At 48.2% G+C, this 17622-nt stretch overlaps 1 pseudogene, besides 1 other annotated feature; it reads right to left on the bottom strand.

The window, feature by feature from the left end:
- Positions 153–462: a silencer, noted in NCBI's record as "silent region_3711". NCBI's record gives its function as "represses an Ori minimal core promoter by ATAC-STARR-seq in GM12878 lymphoblastoid cells {active_cell/tissue: GM12878}" and the evidence as "EXISTENCE:reporter gene assay evidence [ECO:0000049][PMID:35858748]".
- Positions 6940–17622, bottom strand: part of ENPP7P8 (ectonucleotide pyrophosphatase/phosphodiesterase 7 pseudogene 8) — a 58172-nt pseudogene continuing 47489 nt past the window's right edge.

The raw sequence follows: 17622 nt of genomic DNA, 5'->3' as shown, positions 1-17622 counted from the left end.
GCCAGGACAGGGCGATCCTGGAAGTGGGGCTTCGGAAGCGTCCAGGTTGGAGGCGTCCTGGAGGCGGGGCCTTGCATGGGGGCAGGATAAGATTCCCGGAGGCGGGCGTTAGGGTGGGGATAAACAATGATTGGGTTCAGGAGGCGAGACTCGGAGCAGAGTCCAGGAGACAGGTCTTGGGGCGGGGCTAAGACCAGACCAGGAGAAGCGCTCAGGAGGCGGGGCCAGGGCGGGGCGTTGGCTATGTCGTAGCACGTGGCCAGGCGCTGCTCGGACTCTGGGAGGCGGAGCTTAGGACGGGCCGACGTGGGGAGGGGCCCAGGGTCCGGGAGGCGGGGCCGAGTCCGGGCTGCGGGCTGCGCTCAGGAGGCGGGCCCTGGGAGGCGGAGCTTAGGGAGGGGCCGGTGTCGGGAGGGACCAAGAGACTGGGAGGCGGGTCGGGGCTGGGCTCAGGGGCGGAGAGGGAGCTGGGCTTGGGGCTGGGCCGAGACGGAGCGAGGGGTCCAAGGTGTGAGAAACGGGGAGGGGTTTGAGGAGGGGATTGGAGTGTGGCTCAAGTTCGGGAGGCGTTACCTGCGGAGGGTTTGAGGCAGGCCCAGGAGCGAGTCCACGGTCTGCCGACTCGGGGCCATGGTCGGGCCCCAGGATCCGGAGCTTCGGGCGGGGCCGAGTCCGGGTTTGGGGCCCAGGAGGCGGGGCCGTTAGGGCTAGGGTCCCCGGGATCGTCGGGTCAGGCCTTGGGCCAACGTAGGCACTCTCACAGTTCCTCCGCCTTCAGGAAGGTCTTTTTGGCAGGGGCCTTATGGGTGCGCGCTTCGGTCCTGGAGGCCTTATCCTAGCCTCCTCTCCATCAGCGCCACCCGTCTGGGGCCCGATAGGAGGGAGCTTTCCCTCTGTCCCCTAGCCTTTGGACTGTCACCAAACAAGCCATTCGTTCACCAAATACTTATTAAGCGTCTACCATGTGTCTGGCAAGGGATATGTAACAGTGAGAAAAACTAGGTGTGGTCCAGGCCCTCCAGGGGCTCAGGGGCTCGTGGAAGAAGTGGACATTGAAGTACTTATCACACAAATGAGTATAAAAGTACAATAGTGATATCTGCCACGAAGGCGAGCAGACAGAGCTAGCGGGGCTTCCAGGAGGAGTTTTGATCTTGCAGGGACAGGAAGGAGGAGTTAGCTCCTGGGGGGCGGGATTGGGGGTGGTGGTGATATAGACGTGGGGTCAGAGTGGAAAACAACAAAAATATAATTATTTTAGTTCAAAGTTATTGTGTCTTGAGTTGAAAGGCAGGGCAGTTAGCAACACAGTTCAGATTTCAGTACTGCCCCTGAAATCTGAACTGTGTTCAAAGTCTAAAACGTTTACCTTAGCAAATCCCTCATAAAACTCCATTTGGAAGAGTCCCGAGAGCTAATTTTTTAAGTATACTTGCAGAAGGTAGATGAGGAGACAGATTAAATCTTATTACCTCTTTCAGATGAGAGGCACTTGAGCCCTGCTCAGCTGTGAGAATAAGAGAGGGGAATTAATTCTAATTGAATACACGTGTTCTCTCACAGCTGTTGTTCCCCACCAGAACCAAATGAGCGCAAGATCTGACAAAGAAAAAAAAAAGGTTCATCTTTTATTCCCCCAAACACTTTCATTTAAATCAAGAGGGTGGGATGTGGTTATTGCTGTGTTTTTAGACAGAATCAACAGTTTCTGGGTCTGAGATGTTGCATACACCCTCTCAGTCCCTGTATCCTGAGATGGAGTCACCTGAGAATCCACAGCAAGTCCTAACCAGGGATGGGTCTGGGTGGTTAAGGAAGGTTGGCTTCAGAACTGGGCCAGAGGCACTGCTTTGCTTTTGCTGTTTTGATCAGCTCTCTGCCTGCAGGAGACAAGGAAAACCAACGGGAACAGGTTAGTTACGATCATAAATCCTGGGCTTATTTTATTAACTCACATAATAGCTATTAATTGCCTTTCCTCCAAGGAGCAAAAGGACATATACGGTCAATGCTATAAAAAGTAACACTGTATTATGTTATACTAAAATATTAATAAATCTAGGTTGGTTGAGTGTTTCCTGATTCCATAGATTGGAAGCGGATTGAGGAAGGACCCTAGCAGACCACAGAGCTGAGCCATGCACAGAGAAGAAATCTTTTCTTCTTTTGTATTTTTTTGAGACGGAGTTTCGCTCTCTTTTTGCCCAGGCTGGAGTGCAATGGCGCGATCTCGGCTCACTGCAACCTCCACCTCCCGGGTTCAAGCGATTCTCCTGCCTCAGCCTCCCGAGTAGCTGGGATTACAGGCGTGAGCCACCATGCCGGGCCATTTTTGTATTTTTAGTGGAGACAGGGTTTGAACACGTTGGCCAGGCTGGTCTCAAATTCCTGACCTCAGGTGATCCGCCCGCCTCTGCCTTCCAAAGTGCTGGGATTACAGGCGTGAACCACCGCGCCCAGCCAGAAGAAATCTTTATCTTGGTGTGCGGGCTCTGATGAGGGACAAATGTCATCTATCTTGGATCTGAATCTGGAAGGATCAAGGCACTGAAGGGATTTGTTTCAGACAGTCTCCCTCTGTTGCCAGGCTGGAGTGCAGTGGCATGATCTTGGCTCCTGCAACTTGTGCCTCCCGGGCTCAAGCGATTCTCCTGCCTCAACCTCCCGAGTAGCTGGGACTACAGGCACGCGTCACCACGCCCAGCTAATTTTTGTATTTTTAGTAGAGACAGGGGTTCACCATGTTGGCCAGGATGGTCTCGATCTCTTGACCTCATGATCCATCTGTCTTGGCCTCCCAAAGGGCTGGGATTACAGGTGTGAGCCACCATGCCCGGCCTCACTGAAGGGATTTTTTTAATGTCACGTGGCTCTCACAGGTGCGGTGTGTTCGAGTGCAAGTGAAGATTAGGACTGATGCTTAAAACCAAACGTAAAATTCCAGGTGGTGTTGCTATGGGAAACAGCATTAGGACAATCTGAGTGGTTTCAGTTGCAAGAGTGTGCGTGTACGTGCAAGAACTACAGTCAAGGTTCAACTTCTGGCTTTGAGGGTCTCTTTAATAACAGTAATAACAACCTAAGGCAGTTTAACAGTATGGAATGGTTGCCTTTTAGAAATTAAGCTATGGGCATGGAAGTTCAATCAGTACATTGAAGTTTTTCCTTTATCTCTCCTATGGTTAATGGTTTCTGCAGAAAAGGACCAGTTGATTTCTTTCTAAAACGTTGCTTCAGGGTGTAGAGACCTTTATAGGTCGTGTTTCAACTTACAGAAAATTTTATAGTTCAAATATAAATTACGTTCAATGTGGACTTTGTAATAGTTTAAGGTCAAGTAAAGTTTCCACTTTCCTTAGGCTGTTTGCAGTGCCCAGTAGGCCCCATGATATTGAGGTGGAAGTTATGTTAAAGGAGGAGATTGGTCAGGGATGGGCAGAATAAAGAATATGGGCAGCTCAGGCTAATGATACAATGACTGAGGTATAGAAAGAGGGCCAGGCATGGGATAACGCCTTTAATCTCAGTGCTTTGGGAGACCAAGGCAAGACGATAACTTGAGGTCAGGAGACCAGCCTGGTCAACAGAGTGAGACCTAATCTGTACAAAAAAAAAAAAATAATTATTTGGGCATGGTGGTGTGCGCCTGTAGTCTCAGCCACTTGGAAGGCTGAGGTCAGGGGATCCCTTGAGCCCAGGAGTTTGAGGCTGCAGTGAGCTATAATCACATAGCTGTACTCCAGCCTGGGTGATAGGGTGAGGCCCTGACTCAAAAACAATTGAGTCAGGGAAAAAATTGGAAATCTTAATCCTCCGTACCCAGGAATGTGACCTTATTTGGAAATAGGGTATTTGTAGATGTAATCAAGTAATGATGAGTCATGCTGGATTGGGGGCTGCTGGTGAGGAGGCAGATGCAACGACTGGTGTCCTTATAAAAGGAGAGAATGAGGGCCGGGCATGGTGGCTCATGCCTGTAATCTCAGCACACTTTGGGAGGGTGAGGTGGGCGGATCACTTGAGGTCAGGAGTTTGAGACCAGCCTGGCCAACATGGTGAAACTCCATCTCTACTAACAACACAAAATTAGCACTGCGTGGTGGCGGGCGCCTGTAATCCCAGCTACTCAGTAGGCTGAGGTGGAAGAATCACCGGAACCTAGGAGGCGGAGGTTGCAGTGAGCCAAGATTGTGCCATTGCACTTCAGCCTGGGTGACAGAGGGAAACTCCATCTCAAAAAAATAATAGAGGAGAATGTCAGGTGAAGACAGAGACACAGGGAGAAGGCAGCCATGTGATGAGGGAGGAGAGATTGGAGCGATGCATCTACAAGGAACACCAAGCATTGCCAGCGGCCACCAGAAGCGAGAAGAGGCAAGGAAGTTTCTCTCTTAAATGTTTCAGAGGAAGTGAAGTCCGGCCGACACCTTGATTTTGGGCTTCTAGCATCCAGGCCTGCGAGACAATACATTTCTGTTGTTTTCAGCCACATGCGGGGACCTCGTTGTTGTTGTGGGTTTTTTTTTTTTTTTTTTTTTTCTGGAGATGGACTTTCACTCTTGTGCCCCAGGCCAGAGTACAATGGCGCTATCTCGGCTCTCTCCAACTTCCTCCTCCCAGGTTGAAGCTATTCTCCTGCCTCAGCTTCCTGAATAGCTGGGATTACAGGCATGCACCACCTTGTCCAGCTAATTTTTGTATTTTTAGTAGAGATGGGATTTCACCACATTGGCCTGGCTGATCTCAAAATCCTGACCTCAAGTGATCCGCTTGCCTCAGCCCCCCAAAGTGCTGGGATTACAGGCATAAGCCACCGTGCCCGGTCTTGCAGTTATTTTTTTAGACAAGATCCCGCTGTGTCATCATGGCTGGAGTGCAGTGGTACAATCTCAGCTCCTACAGCCTCGACCTCCCTGGGCTCAGGTAATTTTCCCATCTCAGCCTCCAAGTAGCTGGGACTACACGCTTGGCTAATTTTTGTATTTTCTGTAGAGATGGGGTCTTTCTATGTGGCCCAGGCTGGTCTCAAACTCCTTGGGCTCAAGCCGTCTGCCTGCCTTGGCCTCCCAAAGTGCTAGGATTACAGGCATGAGCCACTATCCCTGGCCACCCTTGTTAAAAAATAAAGAATTTCAAGATGGTGATGGAAGATTATTAAACCACAGTGGGGACTCTTCTGTGTCCCTGTGGGACTGTCCAGGTTGCAAGCCCATGAAGCCGGCCCTGGCTGCTGGGTTCTTCGGGTGCTGGACCTCCCGTGGCATGTGGCAAGGAGTTGTCATGGGTTATCACGACATATGATGATCACCTACGGGAGACCCAAAGACCACTCAGTCCTTTTTCCGACGAATGGCTGTGTATGTCACACTAGCAGCAAACAGATCCGCAAGAGCTCCTGTGACAATGCTGAGCCCAATCACTGTGCCTTGCAGAGCAGATGCCCTGTGTACCTCCCTCCTGTTAAGAAACCAGAGGGTTTTTAATTGCCTGATTATTAAGAGGCTGTTCTTGCTGCTCCTGCTTTCCTGGGAAGTTTCCCATCTAGCCGCCAGTGAGTATTCATTATGGAAATGAAGTGCACATTGAACCCAAGAAAATGCTCACTCTGGAGAAATCTCATAGGGCAAGTCATTGAAAGCCGATTTACTAAATGACCTCTTCGCCAAATGACCCATTTGCCTAATGACCACTTTGCCAAATAATCAATTTGCTGAAAGCCAATTCGCTGAAAATCTGTTTGTGGGATGTCCTGCTTATCAGGAACTGACAGTCAGATGCAGCTTATCCCAGGCTCCCAGTGGGATATGGGATAGGGGAGGGGCTACAAAATAGTTGTAGCAGAACTCCAGAACTTAAAAAGAAGAAAAATCCTCCACAATTTGGTGAATTGGTCATTCATTTAATTAGTTTTCTACTAAAGGGACTGCTTTCTGTATGTTCACAAGGAGATCATGGGCAGTGACTTACAAGAAGAGAAAGGATGTATATCACTCCTGCCATCCCCTCTTTTCCTTTTTTTTTTTTTTTTTTAAGGCAGGAATCAGAGTGCCGTAGTACAATCACAGCTCACTGCAGCCTCCAACTCCTGGGTTCCAGCGATCCTCCCGCCTCAGCCTCCCCAGTAGCTGGGACTACAGGCATATGACACTATATCCAGCTAATTTATTGTGGAGACAGGGTCTCACTATGTTGCCCAGGGTAGTCTCAAGTTCCTGGCCCCAAGTGATCCTCCTACCTCATCCTCCCAAAGTCCCAATTATGAGTCACTGTGCCCAGCCCATTACACCTTTTTGCATGTAATTGCTTTAAGCGCTCGTTAGATCACTGGACAGTATCCAAGTCTCTCCCGGCAAAAGGAAAGATAGCCAGTGTTTGTAAACAACCCACTAAAGAAGGCAACAGCAAATTCTGAGATGATTTTATTCTTCCTTTGTATTACCCAGATTGAAGGGGTTTGAAGTCTTGAGAATTTGCAGTCTCGTTTCAGACTCTCCCCTCTCCTTTTTTCAGCATCGAGTGAACAGGGTATTTCTCCTCCCCTATGAAGAGCTTTCTGTGCTATTGAAGGAGGGCTGATTTCCATATCTGGAAGGGGCATCTTGGGGGCAGACTGTACACAGTGATTTCCTTAGGACCGGAAGGATTACAGCCCGACTTTCTCTATAGAGCACCTTCCCTTTGCCTAAAAGGCACTATGTCAAATGTTACCAGCAGGTCGAGGGATTCCCTACCTCCCGTGCTATCTGTTTGGAGCTGTTGACATCTTGTTCCTAGGGCTCCAAAGCTGCTGGGAATCAGGATTGTTCTGCTTGAATTCCCTCCTCCCCACCATGAGACCACTTTTTGTTTCTTTTCTATCTCAGGACAGAGCAGACTCTGCTGACAGTTTTCTGGCAGCTGCTTTTGTGTCTCACCTGGCTGCTGGTCGTAAGAGTTCACGAGCATTTCCTGGGTGACTGCCAGGGAGCCGTTGTGGGTTTGGGGGTGACTCCCAGGAGCTTACACATGAATGGGTAGATGTGGATGTCGTTAAAAGGCTCGGCCAGGCCATTCCTCTTGAAATCTGGCCCGAAAGCTCTGAATGTCTTCATATCCATGAGGACATTATCAAAGCCATGGCTGCCTTTGTTGAAACACATTTTAATTCTCTGAAAAATAATAACAATAAAGCCATTTTAGATTCAATCCACTGAAAGAAAACTGTCCCTTAGTTAATGTCATGCTTGTTGGATCCATGAAGTCTTTGAGAATTTAAACTACAAGAACACTGCTCTCTGTGGTGGTGGAGAGAATACCAAGGATTTAAAGGTCTTTAAGAAAGAGAATGTAGAAAGCGTACCCATTGGAAACAGCAAGATGATGATAATCGTACTGACAGTAATAATAAGCTCAAATATATAGAGCTTACTATGTGTCATGAATTGTTCTGAATGCTTCATAAATGTACGTTCCCTCCTTTACCCTCGTGGCAGCCCAGTAAAGGCGCCATTCCCCATTTTACAGCTGGGGAAACTGAGTTACAGAGCTTGTCTGCACTGAGTCAACAGGAGAAAATGCTAGATCAGTAATGGAACCCAAGCAATCTGGTTCCAGAGCCAAATAGATGTATTTTTTATGGCATAAATACACATACATACATTTTTAGGGGAAGGGTGGGGGTAGGATGGGATGAGGATTCTGGGTAATTGCTTGGTAAATGCCAAATACCTTTCTTGCCTGTCCCTCTTTTCAAATGATAAAGTAATATCAATTGCAACTGTTTTTTTTTTTTTTTTTTTTTGAGACAAGGTCTAGCTGGAGTACAGTGATGCAGTCACAGCCCACTGCAGCCTCAAATTCCTGGGCTCAAGCAATCCCACCACATCAGCTTCCCAAGTAGTTGGGACTACAGGCCCACACTACTATGCCCAGCTGATTATTTTAATTTTTGTAGAGATGGCATGTGGCGGTGGGGGTGGGGGGCGGTTTCGCTATGTTGTCCAGGCTGGTCTCAAACTCTTGACCTCAAGTGAACCTCCTGCCTCAGCCCCACAAAGCTCTGGAATTATAGGTGTGAGCCACTGTGGCTGGCTACAATACTATTTATTTATATTTTAGACCAACAGATATTCTAGCATATAAGAAATGTGATGCTCTCTGTACATTGAAGGGTTGGTCTAATATTTGGCCTGGTGGATACAGAAATTGCCTGTCTGCTCCGCTCTGGTTGAAGAAACCAGTCCGACTGTCTCTGAGGCTACGGAGCAGTCCATCAAGAATGAAAGCCCTCGGCCAGGCACGTTGGCTCACACCTGTAATACCAGCGCTTTGGGAGGCCGAGGCAGGTGGATCACTTGAAGTCACGAGTTTGACACCAGCATGGCCAACATGGTGAAACCCTGTCTCTACAGAAAACAGAAAAATTAGCTGGGCCTGGTGACACGTGCCTGTAATCCCAACTACTCAGGGGGCTGAGGCAGGAGAATCACTTAAACCTGGGAGGCAGAGGTTGCAGTGGGGAGCTGAGATCACACCACTGCATTCCAGCCTGGGCGACAGAGCGAGACTCTCTCCAAAAAAAAAAAGAATGAATGTCCTCATGATGGCCTCAAGCACATTGGCCCCTGAAGAGAGTCAAGGAAGGCCCACTTTACTCTGCACTGCAAAGCAGGCAGGTGGACAGGATGAGAAGTGGATTCAGTGAGAGGCATTGACCCAAAGGATTTTCTGCCTAATGGTCGGTTCAGCAGAAGATTAAACTGAGCACAGCATCCTGCTCCCTCAAACTATCTGGTTGGTCAGTGGGGAATGTTCTTGTCTTGTTAAATGTCCTCATGCTACTGTCAAGATATCCTGTTACAAATCATCATAAACCAGGTTTACAAATAGGCCAGGTGACTGTGGAATTTCTCCTTGGCAAGGCCTTAGCTATGGGCGTGCGATTGGTGTGCAGTAATCACAGTGTTCCGGGCCACTTGAGGGATAAAATATACCTTAGGTGATAAACTGTTGTATTTTAATGTGAATATTTCCACCAATATTAAACAGTAACCCCATAAGTTTTCTCATACTTGTTACACTCCGGAGTTGCAACAAGCTAACATGAAGCAAGTTGCAAACAGAATTATCGCATTTGGCTCCTATTCACAGCAAGGGATCTTCAAGCTGTACCTGGGGCAGTCTTCCCTCACATGAGGTTTATAGCATCATTTATTTAATTAATTATTCATTTTTTGAGATGGAGTTTCGCTCTGTCGCCAAGGCTGGAGTGCAATGGTGCGATCTTGGCTCACTGCAACCTCCGCCCCGCCAGGGTTCAAGCGATTCTCCTGCCTCCGCCTCCTGAGTAGCTGGGATTATAGGCACCCGCTACCACGCCTGGCTAATTTTTGTATTTTTGGTAGAGACGGGGTTTCACCATGTTGACCGGGCTGGTCTCAAACTCTTGACCTCAGGTGATCCACCCGCCTCAGCCTCCCAAACTGTTGGGATTACTGGCGTGAGCCACGGTGCCCGGCTATAGCATAATTTCAACTTTGTTTCTGCCATGAATTGTTAGTTGGTAGTTAACAAAAAATAGACCACCTCATTTATGTCTCACTGTTAGCATTGGTTTTTGTGTTTTCCTTAGGCTTGTTTTTTAATTGTTTTTAAAATTGTGAAACAGGGTCTTGTTCTGTTGCTGATGCCAGAGTGCAGTGATACAATCTTGGCTCACTGCAGCCTCAACCTCCTGGGCTCGAGCAATCCTCCCACTTTAGCCTCCTGAGTAGCTGGGACTACAAACACGAGACACCACAGCTGGCTAATTTTTAATTTTTTTTTTTTTTGAAACGGAGTTTTGCTCTGTCACCCAGCAGGTTGGAGTGCAGTGGGGTAATCTCGGCTCACCGCAACCTCCATCTCTCGGGTTCAAGCGATTCTCCTGCCTCAGCCTCGGCACCCACCACCATGCCTGGCGAATTTTTAAAAAATATTTTTAATAGCGACAGGGTTTCACCGTGTTGGCCAGGCTGGTCTTGAACTCCTGACCTCAAGTGATCCACCTACCTCGGCCTCCCAAAGTGCTGGGGTTACAGGTGTGAGCCACCATGCCAAGACTAATTTTTAAATTTTTTGTAGAGACCAGGTTTTGCCATATTGTCTAGGCTGGTCTTGAACTCCTGGGCTCAAGTGATCCTCCTGCCTTGGCCTCTCAAAGTGCTGGGATTACAGGCATGGCCCTTATGCCTGGCCCTTAAAGCTGCTTTTTAAAAACAGCCTTACTGAAAGGTAATTCACACACCATACAATTTACCCATTTAAAGTGTTCAATTTGGCCGGGCATGGTGGCTCACACTTGTAATCCCAGCACTTTGGGAGGCTGAGGTGGGAGGATCACTTGAACCCAAGAGTTTGAGATGGGCCCGAGCAACATGGCAAAACCCTGTCTCAACCAAAAATACAAAAAAATTAGCTGGGCATGGTGGGCCTGTCTGTAGTCCCAGCTACTCAGGAGGCTGAAGTGGGAGGATGGTTTGAGCCCGGGAGGTGGAGGGTGCACTGAGTTGAGATTGCACCACTGCCCTCCATCCTCGGCAACAGAGCCAGACCCTGTCTCTAAATAAATAAATAAAGTGCATAATTCAGTGGTTTTTAATATATTCAAAGAGTTGTGCAGCCATCACCACCATCAGTTTTAGAAATTTTAATTACTCCAGAAGAAACCCTGTAGCCATTAGCAGTCACCCCTTATTTCCCCCTGACTATCCACACCCCTAGCTCCTGGCAACCATTAATCTACTTTGTTTCTTTGGATTTTCATATTCTGGACATATATATATATATGTGTGTGTGTATATATATATGTGTGTGTGTGTGTATATATATATATATAAAATAGAATCATCTACTATTTGTCTGGCTTCTTTCACTTAGCCTAATGGTTTCAACGTGTATCCAGGTTGTAGCATGAATCAGCCCTTCATTCCACATTTTGGCTGATTAATGTTCCGTCACACGGGTAGACTCTACTGGTTTGCCCATTCATCTGTTGTTGATAGGCATTTGTGTTGTTGCCACCTTTTGACAATTATGAATAATTTTGCTACGAGCATCTGTATGTGTCTTTGTATGAACAGGCTTGCATATTTTTTGATATGGGCAAATGAGAACTAGTGGCGGGAGGCCTTTGTGGTGAATTTTTTGGTGATCTTTGTGTACTCTGTATAATGATCACCCACGCAGGCTTGGGGGCAGCACTTAACCTTACATTTCTTTCTTTTTTTTAAGATAGTGTTTCTCTCTCTGCCACCCAGGCCAGAGCGCAGTTGATACAGGGCAGGGGAGCCCCCAAGCGGAGCATAGTGTTTCTGGAACTGGTGGGTTCTTGGTCTCACTGACTTCAAGAATGAAGCCACGGACCCTCGCGGTGAGCGTCCTAGTTCTTAAAGGCGGCGTGTCCGGAGTTTTTTCCTTCTGATGCTCGGATATGTTCAGAGTTTCTTCCTTCTGGTGGGCTCCTGGTCTCGCTGGCTTCAGGGATGAAGCTGCAGACCTTCAAGGTGAGTGCTACAGCTCTTAAGGCTGCGTGTCTGGAGTTGTTTCTTCCTCCCAGTGGGTTCATAGTCTCACTGGCTTCAGGAGTGAAGCTGTAGACCTTCAAGGTGAGTGTTACAGCTCATAAAGGCAGTGTGGACCCAAAGTGTCAGCAGCAGCAAGATTTATTGCAAAGAGCAAAAGAACAAAGCTGCCACAGTGTGGAAAGGGAACCCAGTGGGTTGCCACTGCTGGCTGGGACAGCTTGCTTTTATTATCTTATCTTGCCCCACCCACATCCTGCTGATTGGTCCATTTTACAGAGAGCCAATTGGTCTGCTTTACAGAGAGCTGATTAGTCCGTTTTGACAGGGTGCTGATTGGTGCGTTTACAATCCCTGAGATAGACACAAAAGTTCTCCAAGTCCCTACTACATTAGCTAGATAGAGAGTGTCCATTGGTGCATTCACAAACGCTGAGCTAGACACAGGGTGCTGATTGGTGTGTTTACAAACCTTGAGCTAGATACAGAGTGCCGATTGGTGTATTTACAATCCCTCAGCTAGACATAAAGGTTCTCCAAGTCCCCACCAGACTCAGGAGCCCAGCTGGCTTCACCAAGTGGATCCTGCACTGGGGCCGCAGGTGGAGCTACCTGCCAGTCCCGCGCCCAGTGCCAGCACTCCTCAGCCCTTAGGTGGTTGATGGGACTGGGCGCAGTGGAGCAGGGGGCGGTGCTTACTGGGGAGGCTCGGGCTGCGCAGGATCCCACGGCGGGTGGAGGGGAGGCTCAGGCATGGCGCGCTGCAGGTCCCGAGCCCTGCCTTGTGGAGAGGAAGCTAAGGCCCGGTAAGAAATCGAGCACAGCATCTGCTGGCCCAGGTGCTAAGCCCCTCACTACTCAGGGTCAGCGGGGTCGACTGGCCGCTCTGAGTGCGGGGCCCACCAAGCCCATGCCCATCTGGCATTCGCGCTGGCTCACAAGCGTCGCACCCAGCCCCGGTTCCCAACCGCGCCTCTCCCTCTACACCTCCCCGCAAGCTGAGGGAGTCGGCTCCAGCCTCGGCCATCCCAGGAATGGGCTCCCACAGTACAGCGGTGGGCTGAAGGGTTCCTCAAGTGCTGCCAAATTGGGAGCCCAGGCAGAGGAGGTGTCGAGAGTGAGCTCCAGGGCTGCCAGAACGCTGTCACCTCTCAATAGCACATGAGGGTTCTTGCCTTTGCCCAGGAAAGAATTCAAGGGCAAGCTGGAGGTATAGAAGAAGACAGCTTTATTGAAGAGGCAGCGTTACAGCCCTGTGACTTCTCCTGTAGGGCAGGGCTACCCTGGAGGCAGAGAGTAGCGGCAGAGAGTTTGCAATCACATTTATACCCACTTTTAATTACATGCAGATTAAACGGCAGTTTATGCAGGAATTTCTAGAAAATTGGTAGTAACTTTTGAGTCATTGGGTCATTGCCATGGAAAGGAGCAGTAACTCCCGGGTGTTACCATGGCAATAGTAAACTCACATGGCACACTGGTGGGCATGTCTGATGGAAAGCTGCTTCTGCCCCAGCCCTGTTTTAGCTAGTCCTCAATTGTTCTGGTGTCCAAGCCCTGCCTGTGGAGTCAAGTCCTGCCTCCTATCTCACAGTGGCATGATCATGGCTCACTGCAGCCTCAACACTCCTGGGCTCAAGCAATTCTCCCACCTCAGCCTCCTGAGTTGCTGGGACCACAGGCACGTGCCACTACGCCCAGCTACATTTTTTTGCATTTTTTGTAGAGTTGGTGTTTCACTATGTTGCCTAGGCTGGTCTCAAACTCCTGGGCTCAAGCAATCTACCTACCTTAGCCTTCTAAAGTGCTGGGATTACAGGTGTGAGCCGCTGCACCCAGCCCAACCTTACATTTTTAATCTCAAGTCACTTCTCTCTAGGTTTTGATTTCTTCTTTAAAATGGTGGAACTAAGAGCATCTATTTTATAGGGTTGTTGGGAAGGCAAAATGAAAGAACTGCTATTCAATGTTTAGTGAAGTGCTATGCACAATTTTGAATAATGAAGTTGGTGTTTATTTTTTATTATTTGTTTATTTATTTTTTAGAGACGGGGTCTTACTCTGTTGTTCAAGCTGGAGTGCAGTGGTGCGATCACAGCTTACTGCAGCCTTGACCTCCTGGGCTCAAGAAATCCTGCCACCTCAGCCTCCTGAGTAGCTGGGACTACAGGCATGCATAGCCATGTCTGGCTATTTATTTATTTGTTTTTTTTTTGTAGAGATGGGGTCTCCCTATGTTGCCCGGGCTGGTCTTGAACCCCTGGCCTTAAGCAATCCTCCTGTCTTTACCTCCCAAAGCACTGAGATTACAGGTGTGAACCACCATGGCCAGCCTTATTTTTATTTTTAAATCAGCCTTGTCCAGTTGAATTGGTCATTAATCTTGTATAATGGTAATTTGGGGCAGCATTGGTTGGGCGGGGGGTGGGGAACATTTAGGACCCTGTGGACTACAACTCGTAGTGTGTTTACTTATTTTATTTTGTTTTGTTTTGTTTTATTATATATTATATTATAATTATATTATATTATATTATATTATAATATATTATATTATATTATATTATATTATATTATATTATATTATATTATATTTTTTTGAGACAGGGTCTCACTCTGTTGCCCAGACTGGAGTGCAGTAGCATGATCTTGGCTCACTGCAACCTCTGTCTCCCAGGTTCAAGTGATTCTCCTGCCTCAGCCTCCAGAGTAGCTGGAACTACAGATGCACGCCACCACGCCTGGCTAAGTTTTGTATTTTTAGTAGAGATGGGGCTTCACCATGTTGGCCAGGCTGGTCTCAAACTCCTGACCTCAAGTGATACACCTGCCTCAGCCTCCCAAAGTGCTGGGATTATAGGCGTGAGCCACCGTGCCTGGCTGTGCACTCATGTTTGATTTTTGCAGAACCACCCTTCCCTAATGGTTTTCTCCTAGATCCAAGGTGACTTTATTCATTTTAGAATGAACTTATCCCATTGATACTGAAACTAGAGTTGGCATACATCACGATTGGCAGAACTTGGTCATGTTTAGCGAGATGGAAGTGTTCTGGAAACTCCTCCTTCTTGTAGACGTGGAGGTGAGGGTGCGCATTCTTCAGTGCCTGGTAAAGGGCTTCCGCTTGCCCCAATTTGGGTAGGGGCAGCCCAAAGCCACCGTAGCCCACAATATCAAACTTGACCAAGTCTCTGAACTTGATGTAGTTGGACAAGGGATCTTGTTGACATTGGGTCTCTTCTTCACGGTGGTCATCCCATGGTCTCATGTGATGATGACGCTGAGGTGCTCTGCAGGCTGTGCTTCTCAGTGGCTCCCACCAGATACCCGATGGTCCTGTCGAGTTGCTGAATCATCAACTTCCTGTTCTCTGCCTCTGGCCTGAATCGATGTCTCACGTTATCTGGCTCTCTGTAGCACAGAGTCACAATGTCAAAGTCTTCCTTGGTGAACCAGTTCATGACGGTATCGATGTTCTCCCTCCGCTCTGTCTCGTTGCTGTTTGGGTGAGTGTAGGACTCCACCAGGCACCGCTTGACAGCCTCACCCTCGTATTTAGCACCTCCCCTGGAATAGTGGGGTGATGATGCTTTGTTCCACTGCAAGTACAAGAAGAAAATTCCTTCAGGGCCATTTCTCATACCTTTCTCACAATCAGCAAAGCTCGAGTTGTCTACATCTGTGCCCCAGTCCAAAGACATAGAAAATATGTGGTCTTTGGGGTCAGACAGAGTGGAGTTAGATTCTGGGCTTCCCCAGGATCTCATAGCATCTACAACACTGTTAGTTACAAGATGTGCTATTATTTTATGGGCTACTAAGCAGAAAAATGCTGCCAACGAGACTGTGACATTCCAATGATTGTAAGGTGTATTCCAACTTTAGAGATGGCAAAATGAAAAATAATTCCTTAGAATAGAGGGAGACAGTAATTTCTGAGTTGTTGTTGGTGAATCTGTGCATGTGTGTTTTATATATATATACATATATATATACACACACATATACATGTATATATGCGTATATATAGACATACCTATATACATATATGTATGTGTATATATAGTGGTGCAGTGGTACAATCATAGCTCATTGCACCCTTGAACTCCTGGGCTTAAGCGATCCTCCCACCTCAGCCTCTTGAGTAGCTGGGGCCACAGGCATGTACCACCATACCTATTTTTTTTTTTTTTTTGAGACACGGTGTCACTCTCTCACCTAGGCTGGAGTGCAGTGGCACGATCTCAGCTCACTGCAACTTCTGACTCCTGGGTTCAAGCAATTCTCGTGCCTCAGCCTCCCAAGTAGCTGGGATTATAGACACGTGCCACTATGCCCAGCTAAGTTTTGTATTTTTAGTTGAGACAGAGTTTTGTCGTGTTGGCCAGGCTGGTTTCGAACCCCTGGGCTGAAGTGATCCATTTGCCTTGACCTCCCAAAGTGCTGGGATTTCATGTGTGAGCCACCGCGCCTAGCCCTAATTTTTTTTTTTTTTTTTTAGTGTTTGTAGAGACGAGGTCTTGCTAATTTGCCCAGGCTGGTCCTGAACTCCTGCGTTCAAGTAATTCTGCCTCAGCCTCTCAAAGTGCTGTGATTACAGGCGTGAGACACCACCCATGGCTGGTGGTGAGTTTTAAAATTTTCCAGTGTCTCAGTGTTTCTACCTGTAGAATGCCAAAAAGTAGATGGCACCTTTGCGAGGATTAAGCCGACTAGCTTTTTTTTTTTTTTTTTTTTGAGACAGAATTTCTCTCTTGTCACCCAGGCTGGAGTGCAATGGCGTGATCTTGGCTCACTGCAACCTCTGTCTTCTGGATTCAAGTGATTCTCCTGCCTCAGCCTCCCAAGTAGCTGGGATTACAAAGCCAGCTAGCTTTAAGATACAGTGTTGGGCATCACATTTTGGCAAGGAGCAGGCACTCTTTCCTTTGCCCCCAGGTGGGACTAAGCCACCACAAGCCTTCCCTGGTGTGTGCAGTGGGTGATGAATGCTTGCCTGCTCAGCACCCACTACATGGTGGGCTGGGTCACATTACTCTGACTCCCCCTTGAGCTTCAGTCCATGCCTGGTTCAAGATGTATTGGCTCAACTCGAGGATCCAGAGGTGGGATGTGGCTCTGGCCTGGCCAGAGGACTGAGGATGCTGCATGCCATGGCTACAGCAACCGGTTCAGCTTTGGGCTCATGTCCTAGTCAGAGCCAATGAGATGTAATCTTGGGATATCTGCTGGGCTGTTGGGAAGAGGACAGGCTGCACTGCTCATCCCCATTCCTGATGCTGAGGGATCTGAGAAAATCACTTGTGAAATTTGGGTGTGTTTGGAAGAAGGGGAGACTGATGTCTCCTTCTCTCTACAGACATCTGATCAGCTACAGAGCTTGATTGACATACCCAGAGGCGGAATGATATGGTGGTTAAAAGTGTGCTCTGGGCCGAGATCTTGCCACTGCACTCCAGCCTGGGTGACAGAGTGAGACTCCGTCTCAAAAAAAAAAAATAAAAGTGTGCTCTGGGCTGGGCGCGGGGGCTTACGACTGTAATCCCAGCACTTTGGGAGGCTGAGGCAGGAGGATCGCTTGAAGTCAGGAGTTTGGGATCAGACCCTATCTCCAGAAAAATGTTTTTTAAAAATTAGCTGGGTTGGTGGTGAATGCCTGTAGTCCCAGCTACTCGGGAGGCTGAAGCGGAAAGATTGCTGGAGCCTGGGAGTTCAAGGCTGCAGTGAGCTATGATCAGGCCACTGCACTCCAGTTTGAGGGACAGAGAGAGACCCCATCTCCCTAAAGAACAAAAAAGTGTGCTCTGGTGCCGCACTGCCTGGTTAGATCCTTTGTCCACTACTTAGAGGCATGTTATATAAATGCTCTCCTCAGTTTCCTCATCTGTAACTTGGGGATGATAATGCTGCCCCATGAAGTGGTTGTGGGGACTAAATGCATGTGGGCACATTGGTAAGTATTCAACAAGCTTGATTTTTCCTGGAGAAGGAGAAAGATGTGGCATGGTCAGGTGGATTGGGGCAAGGATTATTTCCTCTGGCTTCTGCCTCCTGGGAGGTAATAAGGATGGATCTGAAATGT

Source organism: Homo sapiens, chromosome 11, assembly GCF_000001405.40.
Source record: "Homo sapiens chromosome 11, GRCh38.p14 Primary Assembly".
Classification (NCBI taxonomy): Eukaryota; Metazoa; Chordata; class Mammalia; order Primates; family Hominidae; genus Homo; species Homo sapiens.
This window is presented reverse-complemented; position numbering and strand designations above follow the sequence as displayed.